The 20415-nt window shown below is 45.2% G+C and overlaps 1 annotated feature.

Annotated features, from left to right (window-relative positions):
- Positions 7013-7595: an enhancer, noted in NCBI's record as "NANOG hESC enhancer chr2:513913-514495 (GRCh37/hg19 assembly coordinates)". NCBI's record gives its function as "activates a minimal SCP1, AML or CMV promoter by ChIP-STARR-seq in primed H9 embryonic stem cells {active_cell/tissue: H9 hESC(primed)}" and the evidence as "EXISTENCE:reporter gene assay evidence [ECO:0000049][PMID:30033119]".

Genomic DNA, 20415 nt, shown 5'->3' on the forward strand with positions numbered 1-20415 from the left:
TAGTTTAAGTTCAGAGTAAGCCAGCCCTCTAGCTTTCCTGGAAGCCCAAGGCAGTAGGGAAAGCATATTTGGATACACCAAAAAAAAATTGACTATTGAATGGTATGAAGTGTATTGCCTTTATCCGTCATAACCTGTGGGGGCTGGCGATGTGGCAGAAGAAAGGATGCTTCCGGTGTGGCCACTACAATCATGGAAGACATCAAAGAGGGACGGATGCAGCCTCCAGGGAGATGGCATGCTGAGGGAACCAGACAGGAGAGAGGTTCTCTGTTGGTCCAGCAGTCACATGTTCCTCTGAGCTGAGAACATCTCTTTAATTCTTCTCCCAGATAGCATGGAATTCTACTCTAACTTCCGTAATATGTTGGATAATTTTAATGGGTGTTCCATTTGAAGAGGGCTATCTACAATTCGTATGATATTGGTCAGTTAAACACCCACAGGTGAATTGACGATTTTCTTTTAGTCTAAGTCCTGAAAACCTTTATTCTATTATTTTATTATTACACTATCATCATTTCTTAGAGAACAATAACTAAGTATTTATTTTGTCAATTTGATGTTTTTCTTAGATACTTTTGCTAGTTCATTGCAGCAAAGAACACCAGTGGGCAATCTGATAACTATGCGGAATCTGGGCAAGGCCTAAGATGCAGCTGACAGTAACTGAGGCCTGTGGCTTGGTTAGGGCCAGAAACAGAGAACAGAAGGAGAGGGATTTGTTTTATTCCCATTGACCCAGGGCAGGGAGGGACATCCTCACCTAGACAAGGTTGGAACTTTGTAGGTCTTCCCATGATTCCTGCCTGCTTTGCAAGCACAAAGCAAACATATCTTTCCAAAGAAGATCTTTGGTTGTGGAATCCTGGAATCTCACCATTAGAAGGGACAGCATGGACAACCTGTCTCACAATGCAATGGGGTAGGTCAGTGAAGTGGCTTAACTCTTCTGGCTCAGAGTTTCTCAAATTAGGACCCTCAATCCACATGCTTACAGACCACCTGGGATCTTGTCAAAATGCATGTCCTCTGCCCCCACTCCAGTTTCTTGGGCTGAAAATTTGACCACCTGCTTTGTAAGCAGATTTCCAGGAAAGTCCTATGCACCCTGGAGTCAAGGAGGCCACGGAGCCAGGCAAGCCATTCCACTGTGCATGGCTCTCAGAACGTCCTTTCTTGCTGTGAACTGAAGTCTGTGGTCCTGTGAATTTCTGTCATTAGCTCTCTTTCTGCCCTTGAGTCTTCCCAGGACAAGTCTTGCCTTGTGTTGGAATCTACTTGCTACAGAGATGCAGCCCTGTGCCGTTAGCAGTCAGAGGGCATGCAGAGGAGCATAACTGAGAGGGCTCAATGTGGGGGATAGGCAGAGTTATGGGGCCACTCAAGGAGGCCCCAAGGGGTGGCAAGACACCCCAGCATTACAGACAGTGGGAGCAGTCACCACCCTCATCAGAAGGGATAGGAAGGGACGTGGGGCACAGTGGCAGCCTGGCGAGAGCCAACCTAGGCAAGGCCTCAGATGCTGCACAATCTTTGGCATGACTGAAAGGGGAAGGCAAAAACCCACTCCAGCCTCGATTTCTCTGCACACTGTTTTCTTGCTAGGGCTCCCTATTGGGAACCCAATTCTCAAGCCTGGAAGCCAAAGGGCAAAAGGGCCCAATGGGTTCATGGCCAAAGGCAAAGAGCAGAGCCAATAGGGTGAGCACAGACTTGGGTTCACACAGAGAGACCCAGGTCCTGAGGTCTATGTGATTCCTGTCCCAGGAGCCCCCAGGAAGACATGCCTCCCTCCCAACGCTGTCCTGGTTGGCCCCTGTGCGCAAGACCTCATCCTCTTCTCCATTGCTATGGCTTTGTTTTGTTTGAGCATCTCTTCTACTTTAAATATATTGGTTTTCACTGAACTCATGTGCCTAGTTTTTCCTGTGTTACATGACTGCAATTTTCAGGCCAGGTTTTTTTTTTTTAATTCCTATATATTCTTAGTATCTTGTGATTATTAAGTGATTAGCATCTGAGTGTGTGTGTGTGTGATGAATAAAACTGAATTAGCTCAGTTACTCCCAGTTCAGCCGATGATGAAGGAAATGTGGATTTCCTAAGGAGTCTGATGTGAAGATTCCATTAAACTAAAAAGCTTTCTACGGTACAAAGAAGACATACGTTAGAAGGCCCTTAATAGTTTTCCAATTAAGCAAAGAGGTGATTTATATGAGGATTTCCAGTTGTTCTCTCTCTGCAACTGTGAAAGGACAAGGACTCACCACTTCCTTTGTCTCCATCCATCCAGAGTTGTGTAGCCACTGCACCCTGAGAACTTCAGGGCTACAGAGAACAACAAGCATGCTCGGCACCTCAAGGGGCCATACAGATGCTGCCAAGGACGCAGGAAGAAGGCTGGTGTGGGGTGGGAACCTGAGGCGGGGGCTGTGTTTGAAGAGGACAATCGCAGCAAGATCACACAGACTGTCACGACAATCCAGCCCTGAGGTAGCTCAGTGCGCCTCCAGGAGGGGCTTTGTCTCCTATTTGTCACCTATAAGAATTCTGAGGGGAACATTTGTCCTCCAGTTATTGTCTTAATGAATTTCAACTGAGACACAGATTTCTGCCATAAGGCCTGGCCCAGAGGGGATGCCCAGGGTGGCAGGGAGGCTTCCATCCTAGTAACTTCCACTTGCCCCTGGGGAGCTTTCACAGTGGACAGGCACCTCAGGCAAATGCTTCGTCTGTACTTTGCAAAAACACCTCAATCAAGTGCCACGGGCACTGGCATCCAGGCCTCACCATCCTGAGGCTGCTACTGACCAAAGGCCAGAATGGGCAACAGGGAAAGATCACAGACATTTTTAACAGAATTTTTCAGAACATGGACTTTGGCATGACCTAGTGGAATGGAGTTTCCTTTTCTAGGGAAGACCAATGGTCTTTATTGTTTCTTTTAGGCTTAATTAGTTATGAAGGAATCCTTGTCTAAATAAAAAGGAAGCATTTAGAGTTCGTGACTGTTGTGGGTCCAGAGTTGATGAGTTTAGGAGTCCTATAATCCTGTGACCGTGTGGTTCCTATGGGCCATGTGGTTTATGTGGTCCTGTGGTCTATGTGTTCCATGTGGTTTATGTGGTGCTGTGATTCTGTGGTCCTGTGGTCTATGTGCTCCATGTGACTTAGTGGTGCTGTGATTCTGTGGTCCATGTGGTCCTTGTGGTCCATTGGTCAATGATCCTGTGGTCCATGTGGTCCCTTTGTCTGTGTGGTCCCTGTGGTGCCATAATTCCTGTGATTACTGCAGTCGATGTGGTCCTGTGTCTAGTGGTCCATGTTGTCCTGTGGTTCATGTTGTCTATGTAGTCCTAGGGTCCTCGTGGTCATGTGACCCATGCTTTCCTGTGGTTCTGTTGTCCTGCGGTCTTGGGGTTCCTGGGGTCCTATTGCCCATGTGGTCCTGTGGTCCTTCTGATCCATTGGTTCTATGATCCTGTGGTCCATGTGGTCCTGTGGTGCTATGATTCTGTGTTACCATGGTTCATGTGCTCCTGCAGTCTGTGTGGTCCATGTGGTGCTATGATTCCTGTGGTTCCTGTGGTTGATGTGGCCCTGTGATATATGTGGTTGATGTGGTCCTGTGTTTAGTGGTCCATGTGGTTCATGTGATCCATGTGGTCCTGGAATTCCTAAGGCCCTATTGCTCATGTGGTCCTGTGGTCCATGTGGCCAGTATGGTCCTGTGTCTATGTGGTCCACGCTATCCAAGTGGTCTTGGGGTCCTGTGATCCATGTTGTCCTGAGTCCCTGTAGTTCTATTGTCCACGTTGTCTTGTGGTCTGTGGCCCATGTGCTTTGGAGGTCTGCATGGTCCTTGTGGTCCTTAGGCCCTGGTGTCCTGAGATACATGTGTTCCTCAGGTTTTGAGTTCCTTGTTTCTTCAAGAACTGTGTTCCTGGGGTTTTTGCATCCTAAGGTTCATCAGGTCCTATGGTCTTGTGATCTTCATATTTTGTGGTCCATGTATTCCTGTATATTGTGGTCATGTGGTGCATGTGGTTCTTGAGTCCTCACATTTTGAGTTTCATGGGGTCCTGTGGTCTTGTTATCTGTATGTTTTGTGGTCCATGTGTTCCTGTGTCTTGTTGTCATGTGATCCAGGTGGTCTATGTGGTCCTTGGGTCCTTGTATGCTGAGTTTCATGGGATCCCATGGGCCTGTGATGGAGTTTAATACCAAAACAACAAAGCAGGGTAGATGTGAGTTCAGAGGCTACTACTGCCTTTCTTCCATCTTAATCTGGAAAGCTTCACTCTGATGAGTGAGTCCATGGTGTTCCCTTCGGGCTAGAAGCCTTTTGTAGACAGTGTTCTAAGGTTTCTGCTGTGGGTCAGGAAGCTCCTGGGAATAGTCCTGAAAAGTCTGTTGTTTGCAAGAATGGAGGGAGTGCTTCACATGACTCATTGTGTTTTGACTTCTGTGTTTCACTTTGGCTGTTTCACCTTGCAGTCTGAGAAGCTCCTCAACCCAGATTTTCCTCATTTCTTTAAAAAGAGATTAATTATCCTTAATTAGCCTTGACTCCAAGTTGTAGATGAAGCAGCTTGGATTCTTTTATGAGTGTAATCATGCTTTATGCTTTTAAATGCAATTTTTGAAGTTAAAAAAAAATTAAAGTTAGTAGTAGTTCAATGTAGATAGCAATGATTCCCCATCTGTCATTCTCAACAAGTGATGAGGCCAAATTTATAATATAGTTTCTAAAGTCTAATAATCACCAAATGTTCAACCAGAACCCCTTGGCTAGTCCCCTTACAGCAGAGACTTGCAAATATAATTCAACAGAAAATATGAAGGGTTTCCACATTGCCATAACAAAAATCAACTTGTCCTGTGTTTATTCTCAAGAAAGAGTTCACTGACATGTCACACAATTCACTTTCCTCACATCCTAAACCTCTTTCAAACACACACGTGCATGTCTACATGCAAGCAGACAGAAAAACATACATACACATTACGAGTAGAGATAGACAAATTAATGCTAGACTATAAGTTATTCCTCTGGAAGGTGCAGTAATATTAGTATTAGCTCTAGTAGTAATTGGTGGGGAGATAAGGGTGATATAAATTAGTCTGGGGAAAAGCTGAGATGCCCTGAATTTTTGCCATTTAGGTTTTTAAACATTTATCGACTGTGTTTTCAGACCAGTGGTATGTTTACAGAAAACTGAGCAGAAAGTACAGAGCTCCCATATATCCCCTGTAATCTCTGCCTTAGTTACAGTTTCTTCTATTATTATTATTTTGAGACTGAGTCTCACTTTGTCGCCCAGGCTGGAGTGCAGTGGCACGATCTCGGGACACTGCAAGCTCCGCCTCCCAGGTTCACACCATTCTCCTGCCTCAGCCTCCAGAGTAGCTAGGACTACAGGCGCCCGCCACCACGCCCAACTAATTTTTTGTGTTTTTAGTAGAGACAGGGTTTCACCGTGTTAGCCAGGATGGTCTCGATCTTCTGACCTTGTGATCCACCCACCTCGGCCTTCCAAAGTGCTGGGATTACAGGCGTGAGCCACCATGCCCAGCCAGTTTCTTCTGTTGTTATTAACATCTGATATTGGTGGCAAATGCATTATAGTTAGATGAATCAATACTGATATATTATTATTAAATAATGTTCACCGTTTGTATTAGAGTTCATTATTCTGTTGTGTGTGAGTTTTGACAAATGGGTAATGTCATGTATCCACCATTACAACATCATACCAAATTGATCCTCTGCCCTAAAATATCCCTTTAACCTGTCCCTTCTCTAATATGCATACATTATGTAGATCTGAAATTCAGAATTATGTAACTTCTTTCTCTTCGAAGAACTTTTAACATTTTTCACAGTGCAGATCTGCTGGCCAAAAATTTCATAAATAGTTGTTTTCCCGAGAAAGTCTTTATTTCTTCATTATTGAAGGATAATTTCATTGGCCAGAATTCTAGGTTAATGAGGTTTTTTTTTCTTTCAACATTTTAAATATCATTATTCACCTTGCTCGTGTGTCTTGTGAAGAGAAGTCTGGTGCTGTCCTTCTCCTGTTCCTCTCCAGGTTAGGTGGATGTTCCCCCTCTGGATCCTTTCAAGACGTTGTCTTTGGCTTTCTGAAGTTTGATTATGATATGCTTGGGTTTAGTTTTTTGGTATTTATCCTGCTTGGTGTCCTCTGAGCTTCCTATATGGGTGGTTTCGTATCTGTCATTAACTTTGGACAATTCTCAGCCAACCATTATTACTTCAAACATTTCTTCTGTTTAATCATCTCTCTCTTCCCCTTCTGGTATTCCTATTATGCATATGTTACAGCTTTTTTAACTGTCCGATATTTCTTCAACATTCTGTTGTTTTTATTTTTCTTTTCTCCTTGGTTTTCAGTTTGGGAAATTTTTATTGACTCCTTAGGTGAACTGATTCTTTCATTGGCCATGTCCAGTCTTCTGATGAGCCCATCAAAGGCATTAATTTCTGTTATACTATTTTTAATTTCTAGCATTACCTTTTGATTCTTTCTTTGAGTTTCCATTCCTCTGGTTATATCACCTGTCCATTCTTACATTTTCCATTAGAGTTCTTAGCATATTAATTATACTAGTTTTAAATTCCTAATTTGATGGCTGGGTGCAGTGGCTCACGCCTGTAATCCCAGCACTTTGGGAGGCTGAGGTGGGCAGATCACCAGAGGTCAGGAGTTTGAGACCAGCCTGGCCAACATGGCGAAACCCCGTCTCTACTAAAAGTACAAAAAAATTAGCCAGGCATAGTGGTGTGTACCTGTAATCCCAGCTACTTGGGAGGCTGAGGCAAGAGAATCACTTGCACCCAGGAGGCGGAGGTTGCAGTGAGCTGAGATCGAGCCACTGCATTCCAGCCTGGGTGACACAGCAGGGCTCTGTCCCAATAAATAAATAAATAAATAAATAAATAAATAAATAAATTCCTAATTCGATAATTTGGAAATCTTTGTAGCATCTGAATCTGGTTCTGATGCTTGCTTTGTCTGTTCTGGCTGTGTTTCTTTTGCCTTGTAGCATACTTTGGAAATTTTTGGAAAGCTAGACATGATGTACTGGATTGAACTAACAGAGGTAAATAGGCCTTTGGTGTCAGGCTGCATGCTGATCTGCTGAGGAGTCAGTGAGGCTGTGCTTGCTGTTTGTTGTAGCTGCAGGGGTCAGAAGCTAAAGTTTCCCCCAGTGCCCTTGTCTTTATCTCCCCTTTTGTCTTTGAGTTTCCTTAGAGACTTGTTAATATGGTCTGAGGTGTGCAGTTCTTTCCATTGTAATCCCCTGTTGCAATACAAAAGCCCTGTTGATACAGTGCTGAGAAGTGGGGAGGGGAGGCAGTTCATGACCTCTGATTAGGTCTCCATCATCCAATGAGCCTCTGTCCTTAGATTGTGGTCTTTGCCAGTGCTTCTTGCACCCTCTCCTTTTAGGTGATGAAAGCCCATGGGATTTGGAGTTGGGTGTTTTTCTTCACCCAGTGGGCTTGGTTCTGATGTGGCCCCGGTAGGTTGGACTCTGGTGAAATCGTTTCCCTGGAGGGCAGAGGCCTTGTGAGACAGAGTGCTCTGAGCCCTGACCCCCAGTGCCTGCTGGAAGCACAAGGGATTTTTTTCTCTGATCTTCACCCAAAGAACCTGGTGTGGCTCCTTGAGGTCAATCTCAGGACAGTTGTGGTCAGAAAAGGGATTTTATCTTTCAAGCTCACTAATATGGTTTGGCCATGTCCTCACCAAAATCTCATCTTGGATTGTAGTTTCCATAATACCCATGTGTGGTAGGAGGGACCTGGTGGGAGGTAATTTAATCATGGGGCAGTTACCTTCATGCCATTCCGGTGATAGTGAATGAATTCTTGGAGATCTGGCAGTTTTATAAGGGACTTTTCCCCCTTTTGCTCGGCACTTCTCCTTGCTGCTACTATGTGAAGAAGGATATGTTTGCTTCCCCTTCTGCCATGATTGTAAGTTTCCTGAGGCCTCTCCAGCCCTGACAAACTGTAAGTCAATTAAATCTCTTTCCTTTATAAATTACCCAGGTTCTGCTATGTCTTTATTAGTAGCATGAGAACAGACTAATACACTCAGCCACTGTTGGTCCCAGGAGCTAGGTGATCACCCTGTAAGTGCTCCTGCCACCTCTGGCTTCTGCTGCTGTGAGCTCTGCTCTCTGCATCAGCCGGCCTGTCTCTCCAGTTTGGGGGCAGCAGTGTGCCCTGTGACCTCAATTTTCTGCTGGATCCAAGAAGAGCTGCCGACCCTCTGTTCAGCTTCTTCTTTGATGATGTGAATGGTGATGGCCAAGCTCTCTGCATGTGGAGCAGAAACCAGGAATGTGCTGGCTTTCCTATTCCTCTATAGCCTGCATTTCAAAACATGCATTTAAAAGTATTTACCAATATTAGTTTTTCCACTTCCAGTTTTTTGAAAGATATAGTTTAGTTGATCCATCATTGACTTTGTGCATTATACTGCATAATTTATTAGTGTAGACATTAGAATTTCCTAAATATTTGCACTGTCCTCAAGATCTTAACCATCTTCAGGTATATGTACTAAGTTTTAGGTTATTCCCTATAGACATCTGTCAGTCTTAATATTGCCAAACATATGGAAGCATTTTTAAGCACATATATCCAGTTTCTGAGCCTGAAAATAATGAATAATGTGGGAGGCTGGGTGGACTCATTTTCTTCCAAGTCTCTCCAAGCCAGATTATCCTTTCAAATGCTCTTCATGACTCTCTTGCTGGTGATCACAAAGAAACAAAACAGTGAGCACTTTCTAAGAAAATAATAGCATTCAGTTTTTATTTAATAAAAACCAGATACTTATTTGGAAAATGCTTATGTGTGTAAAATGGTTCCATACAAGGGAGGGTAGATTAACTCACTTAAGTAGAGATCATGTGCCAAGACCCCGTAAAGTACTGGAGGTGCACAGGTGAGTCTGTCTGTGGCTGCAGGGAACTCACGGCCCGCTGGAGTGGTGCAGGGCACATTGTCTGACCTCTGGTGATTGAGGTCTCTGATATTTCACTATGAAGATCAGCCTTGTCAATGATGTCCACTTTGGAAGGAAAAGACCCTCTGTGCTGGAGGAAGAACAAATGACTAACTCCAGGACTGCAATTAGAAAAGCAATAACCAAAATGGTCAAGTCTTATAGTGAGAAAAATCCTGGAGTCATCTTGTCTACCACCCCATCATAAAATGAGAAAGTGTTATCTGGGACAGCTGAACAGTTCAGGGGAGAAGACAGGATGAGTGATGGGCAGGCTGGCTTCTGTCCCTCTCTGTCCGGCCTCTGCCTCCCTGAACACTTGCTGGGGATGATTCTAGGGAGCTTGGGCGCTGCGGGTCTGTGGCTGCCCGCTCTGCCCTGCAGCTGGTTTCTTCCTCGCTGATACTCAAGGACACGCAGTGATGACAGGCATGGCTGAGCGGGTGATGCACATCTCAGCAAACATGTTACTCAGCATCACTGCTCATGGACCTAAATAATACAAATGTTAGCAGGTTTCAACCTCTTCACAATGCAAGGGTTGAACAGAGAGCAGACATTGGCAAATTTCAAGCAAGAAGTCATTTCCAATTTGGGTTTAAAGTATTAACTTAATTGTCAAAGGATATAACTGAATCTCTGCAAGAAATAGATTCCTTTATTCTGACTTTTATGTTTGTTGAATAAAAGATTTCTTATGTAGGTGTTGCATCTGACTCACACACCAAAAAATTGTTTAGAGCAGACCAACAGCAGGCCTTTGCTGTTCTCTAGATACTTCGTTTGTCTCATTCTGAACCTGGTTTTATGAAACTCAAATTTTCTTTTCTTTATAGGTAAAGTATTAATAGTTTCCAGAAAAATTTCAAGCAATTGAAAAGATTAAAAATAAAGTGGTGATTTAGTTTTCAGGCTTTAAATTTCTGTTAAAAACTATGCTTGCATTCTAGCATTTGGCTTGTATAATGAGTATAGTGAAATTTCTAGTTATAACATAAAATTCCTCCAAAATTCAAAACACATCTACCGCACACTTTTGCTAAATTTCCCTTTGCTATTTTTTTTCAAGCTAGTTCCACAGTGATATCATAGTTATTCAGAGAGACAATCAGACTAAGTGTAGTTTCCCATGAATGGAGCGTAGCTGGGAGCAGCTGCCACATCTAACTCTGGAGTGTGTGCTCCTCAGAGCCTGGATTCTCAGCTCAGAAGTGCAATCAAAGGCATCTAAATAGAGTCCTAACGAACTGGGACTTCCTGCGTCAAATGATTTTGTTTAGAGTTGTTTTGCTTCTACCCCGCCTTCTTAATCAAGTTAATGCTGTGGGTATTTTTGGGCTATGTGAGCATGTGGCTGTGAATAGATGCAAAATCTTCCAGTTTTCAAAGAGTTTTGTGTTTCTTTGTGAGTGTCTACATGATAGTCACCAAGCACATTTGAAAGGAATACTTTGGCTTCTAGAGGCCCCAAAAGGCTATCTCAGAATAGACTGTGTCCATCCAGCCTCCCACCTTATGAGAAATCTCTCTCAAGGACAGCAGCACTCCATTGATCTGGCATTTCTCAATGAATCAAGTGTTTCTGATGAGTAAAAATTTTCAAATAATTGTAACAGTCTTTAAGTATAAGCAACATTTTCCATTAAACATTTTAAAATAAAATCAATCTTGGTGTTCTTGCTTTAGGAAAAATACTATCTTGATCAAAATCTAAATGTTTCTGAGTAACTGTAGTAAGATTTTAATCACTAATAGTAACCCTGGAGTGGCGGCCCTTGGTGAAGGCCACAGACCCGGCCCACTGTCCTGCTCCCATTGGGATTTTGGCCCTCTCTTCTCTGCCACTGAACTTCTGCAGCTGCCAGCTTGTTTCTTATAGGAAGGACCTCCCTTCTACTAGTCTGCCATTTAGGAAGATTGAGAGGAAATAAAGCTGTTTAATTGGTAATTCTCACCTACATAAAAGATGAGGACTGTATTTTTTTAACCAACTTGGAAACTAATACTATATTTTCCAAAAAAACTGGCCTTGCCTGATTTGAGATTACCAAAGAACGGAAGCATTTTTTCAAACAAATATAATCCAGAAAGAAAGATCTCAGATACAGTGTTTCAGCGTTGCCCACTGGTTGGCCCCACACAGGCCATGCACGGAATGAAAGACTGGAACAGAAACAAATGTGTCCTGTCCTGTGTTCGAGTTCAGGCAAGGGAAGGAATGGCTCTCTCTTGGTTCCAGTTCTGGAACTGCTCTTGATAACACTGTTGATTTAAATGCAGTCTATTTTTCTTTAACAGTTTTGCTATCTGCTATGCATATATAAATAAAATGAAATCTCCGTCTGTTAGTTAACATTTAAAAATACATGGAAATAGCTGGGTAGATTTTCGCTAAATTAGGATTGTGAATTTTGGGTGTTACGACTAAAAAAGCCGTCCACGTCTAAGTCTCAGCCTCACTCTGAAGAGGCGTGGGATGCCCCACAAAGAGCCTGCCAGTCATCCTCCTGGGAGGTTGGGACAAGCACGTGGTCCCCACACTCTCAGGAAGACATGCCATACCAGCAAGATATAAATACAGAAAATAAGCACTTTCCAATATCATCCCCAAGTGGAAAGCCACCAGCACAGACCTTCCACATTGCAGACATTGATTTCCAGCTGCACCACACCACACCTAGGCAATTCAGAGCAGCAAATTCCAGGGTCACAGCAGCAGAACACAGTCCAGACTCCTTAGCTGAGCTTCTCAGCCCTGCCATCCGGACCTCTGGATCCCACCAACATATCCAAGACATTTCTCAATGCCACTGACATTGCTAAGCTTTTCTTTATAGTTCCACTACATCCTACCTGGTCAATTAACACTTAATTCCTGGGTCTTTCCTGACCCCAGCCACTCCATTCCGACTTTGACATGTCCTTGCTTTCATTTTCTATTTCAGATGCCACTTTTTCTGCAAAGCACTCCCTTCTTTGCCCACTGACCCCAGGAACAGTAACAACTTATGTGATTGCTGTCTATTTTTAATGACACCCATCTTGTCCACCCTGTCTTATAGCCATTTATCAATCTGCCCTCTCCTTATTCCAATAAGCTCGTAGATTTCAGGAGTCATTCAAGAGGTCCCACTGGCCATTGTAGCCATGCCTATGTAGCTTCCAGTGCACAAATGCACTTACATTTGGAAATTCTTTCTTCTTGTAGTCTAGGTGGTAGGTGACAGGGTCACTGGACATTACTGTGACCTAAGCCAACAGTTGCCAACCAAGTAAACAATTTGTTATAGATTTAAAATTCTTTTAAAATGTTAAATGTTAAAAATACTTCATACTATATTTTTATGAAAATACCTAATAAATGCTAGATTTTTCTCTGTTAGGCAGATGCTCTTATCCTAGAGATTATTCCACTTCCTGAAGATCTAGGTGCCATGCCATTGATTGGCCTGAACCCAAGCTTAGGAAGGACAGTTGATCTCCACATTCCTCAGAAAGGCTCTGTCATACTCAGTAAACTTTTCGTAACATGTTGATGTGTGGATTGAATCATAGAACAGCCCTACCTTCTCCATTCTGTGTTTAAAATAATAGAATGCAGCAGGGTGCAGTGGCTCATGCCTGTAATCCCAACATTTTGGGAGGCCAAGGCAGGAGGATTGCTTGAGCCCAGGAGCTTGAAACCAGTCTGTGCAACTTAGGGGATCCACATCTCTACACAATAAATAAATGAATGGAATTCTACATTTTTTGCAAAACTCAGGACTTTTCCATATTCAAAGACAGTTTTGCAGAACATAAAAATATGATTATTAATAAGTTGAATATAAATTTCATTTTTATGTCCCAAAACACCTAGCCCAATGCTTTTCATTGAAAACAGGCACTTAATATTTATTAATGTCTTCATTTAGTTAAACATATTAAGCTAAATAGATGAATGTAATGAGAACAAAAATGAAAGGCAAACTCTGGGGAGAAACCGAATGCTTAGACTGTGAAGATGGAGGCAGGTCAGCTGCATGGCAGCTGAAGCACCAGGGGCAGCGTGTCTATCTGTTGGAATTCCAGGGAAAGACCCTTTGGCTTGAAGCTTCTCAACTTGCTGGACATGAAGTCAAAGACTCCATCTAAACTTCTATTTATTTATTTATTTATTTATTGAGACAGAGTGTCGCTTTGTCACCCAGGCTGGAGTGCAATGGTGCAATCACAGCTCACTGCAACCTCCACCTCCTGGGTTCAAGCAATTCTCCTGCCTCAGCCTCCGGAGTAGCTGGGATTACAGGTGCTCACCACCACGCCCAGCTAATTTCTGTATTTTTAGTAGAGACAGGGTTTCGCCATGTTGGCCAGGCTGGTCTCAATCTCCTGACCTCATGATCCGCCTGCCTTGGCCTCCCAAAGTGTTGGGATTACAGGTGTGAGCCACCTCACCCAGCCAGATCTAAACTTTCAGAAGCACTAATTTTAGAGTCAACAGATTGGGTGTCAGACTTTCACTCTACTACTTTCTGATTGTCTAAACTTAAGAACAGTGCCCACTCTCCTGGGCCTTGCTGCAGAGCAAGACACTTTTGAACGTAGGAACGATTCTTCGTTTAAAGAGCAGGGAGTCTATCTGACTGCAGACATGCACAAGTAAACAAGAAACAAGTGAGGAAAGTGTTAGCAATGGTACAAGAAACAGAGAGGAAGCTGTAGGCAGTTCTACCCAATCTTTCAGTAAATGATTCACAAACAGTGACACAAGCTGCATCTTGGAGATGAGTGAGGTGGAGGAGTGACATGAAAAGAAACGTAGGGAGGAGAGGACCTGGCAGGACCAGGAAGGACGGAAGAAGTGTGAGCAACGTGCTGCCCCGGAGGGGCCCCTGTGGATCCACTGAGACTCCTGGCACCACAGGCTGATGGGCGCAGGGGACATGGGCAGGGCCTGGACTCCCATTGTCTTCAAGGGGAGTTACTGAGGGCTTTAAGCGAAGAGAAAACAGGAACAAGATCATCTTTCACTTAGGAGACATAATTCTGGCTGCAGTGTGGAGGGTGGATGTTTTTGTCTGTTTAATTCACTATTACCTAGAATGGCACCTGGAAAATTGTAGGTAACTGTTCTTTGAATGATATAAAACCAATTGCAGAAGCAGTTGCTGTGGGCCTGGCAAAAGACGATGGGCATCTGAACTGAGGCGCAGCGCCAGACCTAGAGATGAGGCCAGGGTCTGCAGGAATGAGGATCTTTTTGTTCACTGCTTCCTCTCAGGCACTCAGAACAGGGCCTGCCACGTGGATGTCCCCTCAACCTCATGGGATACATTAGGATATTCTACCGGTGAGTTGCATACACAGGTTGACTTTGCAATCCTTTACTTTGTTTCTTTTTCTCTTTGTCTTCTGAGGTGAGGTGATTACAGAATGAAGTAGAATCCATATCTTGGGTGCCCCCCTCGCAGTGGGTGAACTTGACCTTTCTGACTCCAGACAGATCCATGATGGTGACAGAAGATTCCTTCAAACGATCCCCCTACCTCCCTAAGAAAGGAGCCCTATAGTACTTGACTATTCTGCTGGGTTCAATTTAATTTTTCTAAAGAGTCCTGGATTGTCGGGGAATCTCCAATGTGTGGTTTTGTTCATGTTCTCAGTGCCAAGTGCTGACGGAGGCCACGACCTTCACTTGTGAGGCTGAGTGTCTTCCGTTTCACCCTCGGGCACTTAGCAAGCTGCATTCGAAGACCCAATGCTTCACTTCCCTTGGGTATTTGGCTGTTTTTGATATTTTAATTTGTATTTTTTTCTACATATTTCAAAGAGGAATCAGTTTTCTCTGGGAATTTGAATGTCCTGATAGGATGGGATACTGTAAGAGTAATTAGTGAAATTTGTGTTGTTTGGCTGTGGGATATTCTATAAGAAATAGCGACAGAAAGACCCAGATTCTGTCTTTTATGCTTTAAGTTGGGTAGACTTGATGAGATGAGAAGCTCTCAGGGCAGCCGTCCGTGAAAAGGGGTGGGAAGTGGAAGGAGGTCTGGAGAAGGGGTGACAACAAGGAACCCAATGGCATGGAACCCACGGAACCCGATGGCATGGAACCAGAACCGATGGCACCGAACCGGAACCTGACGGCACAGAACCAGAACCCGACAGCTCAGAACCCAACAGCATGGAACCCGATGGCATGGAACCCAACTACAGGGAACTGGAACCTGATGGCACAGAACCAGAACCCGACAGCATGGAACCTGACGGTGGCTTGGAACCCAATGGCAGCATGGAACCCAACAGCACGGAACCGGAACTGACAGCACAGAACCTGATGTCTGCTCGGAACCCAACGGCAGCATGGAACCCGAAAGCACGGAACCGGAACTGACAGCACGGAACCTGATGTCGGCTCGGAACCCAACGGCAGCATGGAACCCAACAGTACACAACCGGAACCAACAGTACGGAACCAGAACTGACAGCACAGAACCTGAGGGCACAGAACTCGACGGCACAGAGCTGGAACCTGACAGATGGAACCCGACGGCTCAGAACCCTATGGCACAGAACCTGAGGGCAGCACGGAACCTGGAAGATGCCGGAGGAGACTGGAGCATGAACTCAGGCAGGAGAACCTACCTGGTCCTGGACAAGGGCGTTCTCTCTCCCTGCGGATAAAGACGTGGATTTAACTCCAGCATTTGGAGTGAGAAGCCTAGGGTGCCAGGCCCACTCGACTCTGAATGAGGAGGTGTAGCTGTCTGCTGGGTGGAATGAGCGTTTTGAGGGTTGTGGTGAAGGCTGGGACCATCGCATGAGGAGTGGGTGGGGAAGACCAGAGATGACCCCTTAGCTGACATTTGCTGAGGACATTCTCTGTTACAGGCATAGAAACTTAATTGATTTAATCTTCTCAGTATGCCAATGAGGTAAGTACTATAATTATTCTGATCTTATAAATGAGGGAACTGAGGATTAAAGGTGAGGGAAAGTCCAGCCTGCACCTCTGCCATCAGGGGAGCCAGGCGGCCACGTATGTGGTCTCTGTCCCAAGCCCACACCGCGGCCAGCACTCTCCAGGGCTTCTCACTGAATATGAAGACGCATGGCTTGATGTGTTTCACGAAGAGTGGGAGGAGGATCCGTAACGAGTAGGTAGCGTGTTGGAGCTGTAACAAGGGGTTGAGTTGGAGAATGTGGAAAATTTGAGGGTTCAAAGAGCAAGTGCAGCCACCAGAGTGAATGAGGATGCTTAGAAGGGCAGACACTTCCCATCAGAAGTCAGTGCTTTAGGGCTCATGTTCCAGAGATGGCCAACGCTAAATTAAAGTCAATGGCAGTGGAGTTGAGAAAGACAAGATTAGGAGGCCCAGTAGGACATGAGTGTGGCTCCTGATGTTTTCATGAGAATAGCAGGAGTTACACAGAAAGGAAGTGTGAGAAAACATCAGTTGTTCCCATGGAAAGATGATAGGGCTCTATAGTGTTCAAGGTGAGCCCCAAAGGGGCCAGGACCTTGAACATTATTGTTTAGAAATAGAAACCAGCACTGAGAGATGTAGGCCAGGCCCTGAGGAAGAGGGAAATTTGGGAACTCTGTGCCCCAGAATTCACTGAGGATGCGGGGCTCCTGTGATCAAGGCTGAGCAGAGGCCGGGGCAGGGGCTGTGAAGGCACTGGGGGGAAGAGGCAGTTTCCTGATCCTGAGTAGAGATCTCAACAGCCCCAGAGACCAGGGCCAGGGAAGAAGTGTGAGTCTGTGTGAGGAGAGCTGTGCCGGAGGACACCTGGGTTCACGTTCCACAAGCCAGCTGAGGGTCTCATGGGCGGGAGTTGCACGTGAAGTGGGAAGCCCTCCTGTCCTGGGGCAGCAGGCTGAGAGTGTGTCCTCTTCTCTCGGAAGGGTGAGATTCCCAGGATGCCAGGGAATGACAGTGGTTGTTGGAATCTCTCGCTCCAGATGGCCTGGGAGAAGCTGAGACCCAAGGCTCCGCATGGCAGAAGCCGCCTTTGGAAGGTGTTGGCTCTGTTGCTCCCCACACAGCTGGGGGTGAAATGGCTCCTGGATGTTAGGACCCCGACCTCAGGGGATGCACAGTGCCCATGTGGGCTGAGGGGCTCCAGGCTTGCAGCAATGTCGCCGTGCAGGTCCAGAGAGCCAGAAAAACTGCATAGTTTGCATTTCTCAAAGTACTTTCCAGGCATGGCCAGTGGCCCTGGGAGACAAGGAAGCAAAACACATTTTTACAGCAGGAACACGAGTTCAGAGAGGTTCAGTTTCTTGCCTGAGACCATGGAGGTATTTGACAAAGTGAAGCCAGAGTCCACATCCTTACAAACCGTATTATCTTTGTATCACACCGTCTGTCTTTCTCAAGAGGAATTAAGCTGAAATCCCATCACTCAAGGTCATGAATACCTTCACCATATGCCAGTTTTCGGGAAAAAAAATGATTTCTTAGAGCTCCACAATGTATTTCTTTTAATGAAACCTATGTGGGCTTAAGAGAGTTTTCCTTTCATAGACTCTGCAAAGGTATTGGGTAATAGTTGAGAAAGATCATTTGGGATATAGACACTCTCCTCTAATCTGAGTTCCTTCCACCAGGACATGGCATAGCAGTGACTTGGTCTAACATTCCTGGTGAACAGAGCCACAGCAAACGTTGGAAGAGGCTGCTTTCTCATGAACTTACAAATTGTGCCAGACTCCAGAGGCCATGAACAACCATACAGATATGTGAAGAGTCATTCACCCTAAGCCAAAGTCAGCACGCCCTGAGCAGGAATCCTGTAGAAATGAACACTCCTGTCTCCTGTATTCAGGGGCAAAAAAAAACCAGCATAGATGAAGGTACTCCCTTCACCTCACCAGCTCCAAGAGTTATACCGCAAATCACACACAAGCATACATGCACACACACACAACATTGCTGAATCAACAGAAGCTGATCAGCTTTGGTGCACATAATTGGGAAAACACGATTTAATTTGTTAAAATAAGTGAAGACGAGGAAATCACTAACTTTCTGTCGTTCTACAGATTTCTGTTCCTGAAAAGGACGGCTGAGTTACATGATTTTTATTTTACGCAGGCATTTCTTAGTATATAGGAAGTTACAATATGCTTTTAGAAACTGATTCCTTAGATTGTGTGTGTGAGACAGAGGTCCACAGCTGTGGCCCCTGGGCTGGTCCAGCCTCCGTGCCCCAGGCCACACTCATGTGGGGACCCAGACCTGCCTCCTTTCCAGGCTGCCCAGTGCTGCAACCGCAAATGGCTGTGACAGAGACAGCATGACGCACCAAGTCTAAAATAGTCACTATCTGGACATTTACAGAGAATCCCACTAACCCCTGACCTAAAGGACATGATTGCTGTACAAAAGGCAGCGAGATGGGACGGGACCAGGCCTCCCTCTGATCTATAGAAGCACGGGGTGGTATGCAGCTCATTGAAATCAAATATGCAATCAAGTTTTTGGCCATGTATTAAGAGCCGGATCCAATACAGGAGCCAGGGCACATTTCAGAGGGAACCAAGAACAGAGCCCAGAGCTCCCCCGAAGCCCGGCTTATGACGAGGAGGTGTGGCTGTGACACAGCGCTGACAAGGCCAGTGCCTGCCATGAAAGCAACCAGTCACGATGAGAAAAGCAGCACAGGGGAAACTGAGGCCAAGACCTCCATGGGGAGCTGGCCGAAGACCACACCGGGAAAACTGAGGCCAAGACTTCCACAGGGAGCTGGCCCAGGACTGCACCAGGGTAGCTGAGGCCAAGACCTCCACGAGGAGCTGGCCCGGGACTACACAGATACTCTGAGACCAGACACCTCGCGCCTGAGCCCCCGTACGGGCCCTGCCTGTTCAACAGCAGGAGCTCTGACCTGCCGGGGGGCTTCAGGAAGGGAAATCTGGAGGAGTGCCTATGCAGGACCAAGGCCCAGCCACTCTTCCCTGCAGGGGCTCATGTCAGGCACAAGGAGCCCAGGCTAAGGGTGCATGGTGCAGCATGGGCCACAGAACCAAAAACGTGGGCAGGCCAGTGTCCATGGACAGGGACATAGATGAAAACGGTGAGCAACAGAGAGTGGAGTATCACACAGCAGTGAACAAGGAACGGCCTGTACTCGCCTGTGCCCGTTCGCATGTGGGGGCATGTAAACTTACCCACAGCAATGCGGATGTATGTATACATATGTAACTCTTAGTTTTAAGTCAACTTCTTCTTGCATGTATAGTCAAAGCATAAAGCACTTTACAAAGCAGGTACTTACCAACTTCACATTATAGTGATTATCTCTGGGGAAGGGATGCTGGGAATGAAATTGGGGGAGTTTATATGAATACTAGTGTTGCTTTGTTTTATTTTCTTTAAAAAAGATCAGAAGAAAACAAGTTAAATTTTCAGGTGTTTCTGTCTTTTTCCAAGTAGTTGGCAAATTACTATAAAATTATTCTCCATGCTTTTCAGAAAGGTAAAAATATTCCCTATGTAAAAAGTGAAAATATGTATTAAACTTGAGTGTTCTAGATATATAGGAATCCGTTTTCTTCTCACAGTTGTATAGTTTTCTGACTGATTTTATTTTATTTTGTATTTTGCCTGGACCTAATTCCCGTTGGTAACAAGCTGTTTTTAAGCCTTTTGGAAGATTCTCTAAGCACTAACTAGTGTGCCGAAATCACACAAAACTTGGTCATTATAGGCAATAGAGGCAGGTGAAGGTCATAAGCCAGTGTCTGAGGGCAAGTAAATCAGGGGGCTCCCTCCTTTCCCATAGTGAGGCACTCAGCAGCCGACTTACTATATTAATAGTTGCTCAGTGTGAGTGTGTGTGCTGTGTGGTGTGTGGGGTGTGTGGTGTGTGTGGTAGGGTGTGTGTAGTGTGTGTGATGTTTGTAATGTGTGGTGTGTGTGGTTTGTGCTGTGTGGTGTGTGTGTGCTGTGTGGTGTGTGTGGTTTTTGTGGTGTGTGATATGTGTGGTGTTTGGTGTGTGTAATGTTAGTGTGTGATATGTGTGATGGGTGTAATGTGTGGTGTGTGTGGCATGTGATGTCTAGTGTGTGCTGTGTGTGATGTTTGGTGTGTGTGATGTGTGGTGTGTGTGATGTGTGTGGTGTCTGGTGTGTGATGTGTGATGTGTGGTGTGTGTGTGGTGTGTGATGTGTTTGTGTGATCTCTGGTGTGTGTGGTATGTGCAGTGTGGTGCGTGTGGTGTGCACAGTGTGTGATGTGTGCATGTAGTATATGATGTGTAGTGTGTGTGGCGTGTGTGGCGTGTGGTATGTGTGACGTGATGTATGTGGTGTGTGTGGTGTGTGTGATGTGTGGTGTGTGTGGTGTGTGGTGAGTGTGATGTGTCGTGTGTGTAGTG

This window comes from Homo sapiens, chromosome 2, assembly GCF_000001405.40.
Source record: "Homo sapiens chromosome 2, GRCh38.p14 Primary Assembly".
NCBI lineage: Eukaryota > Metazoa > Chordata > Mammalia > Primates > Hominidae > Homo > Homo sapiens.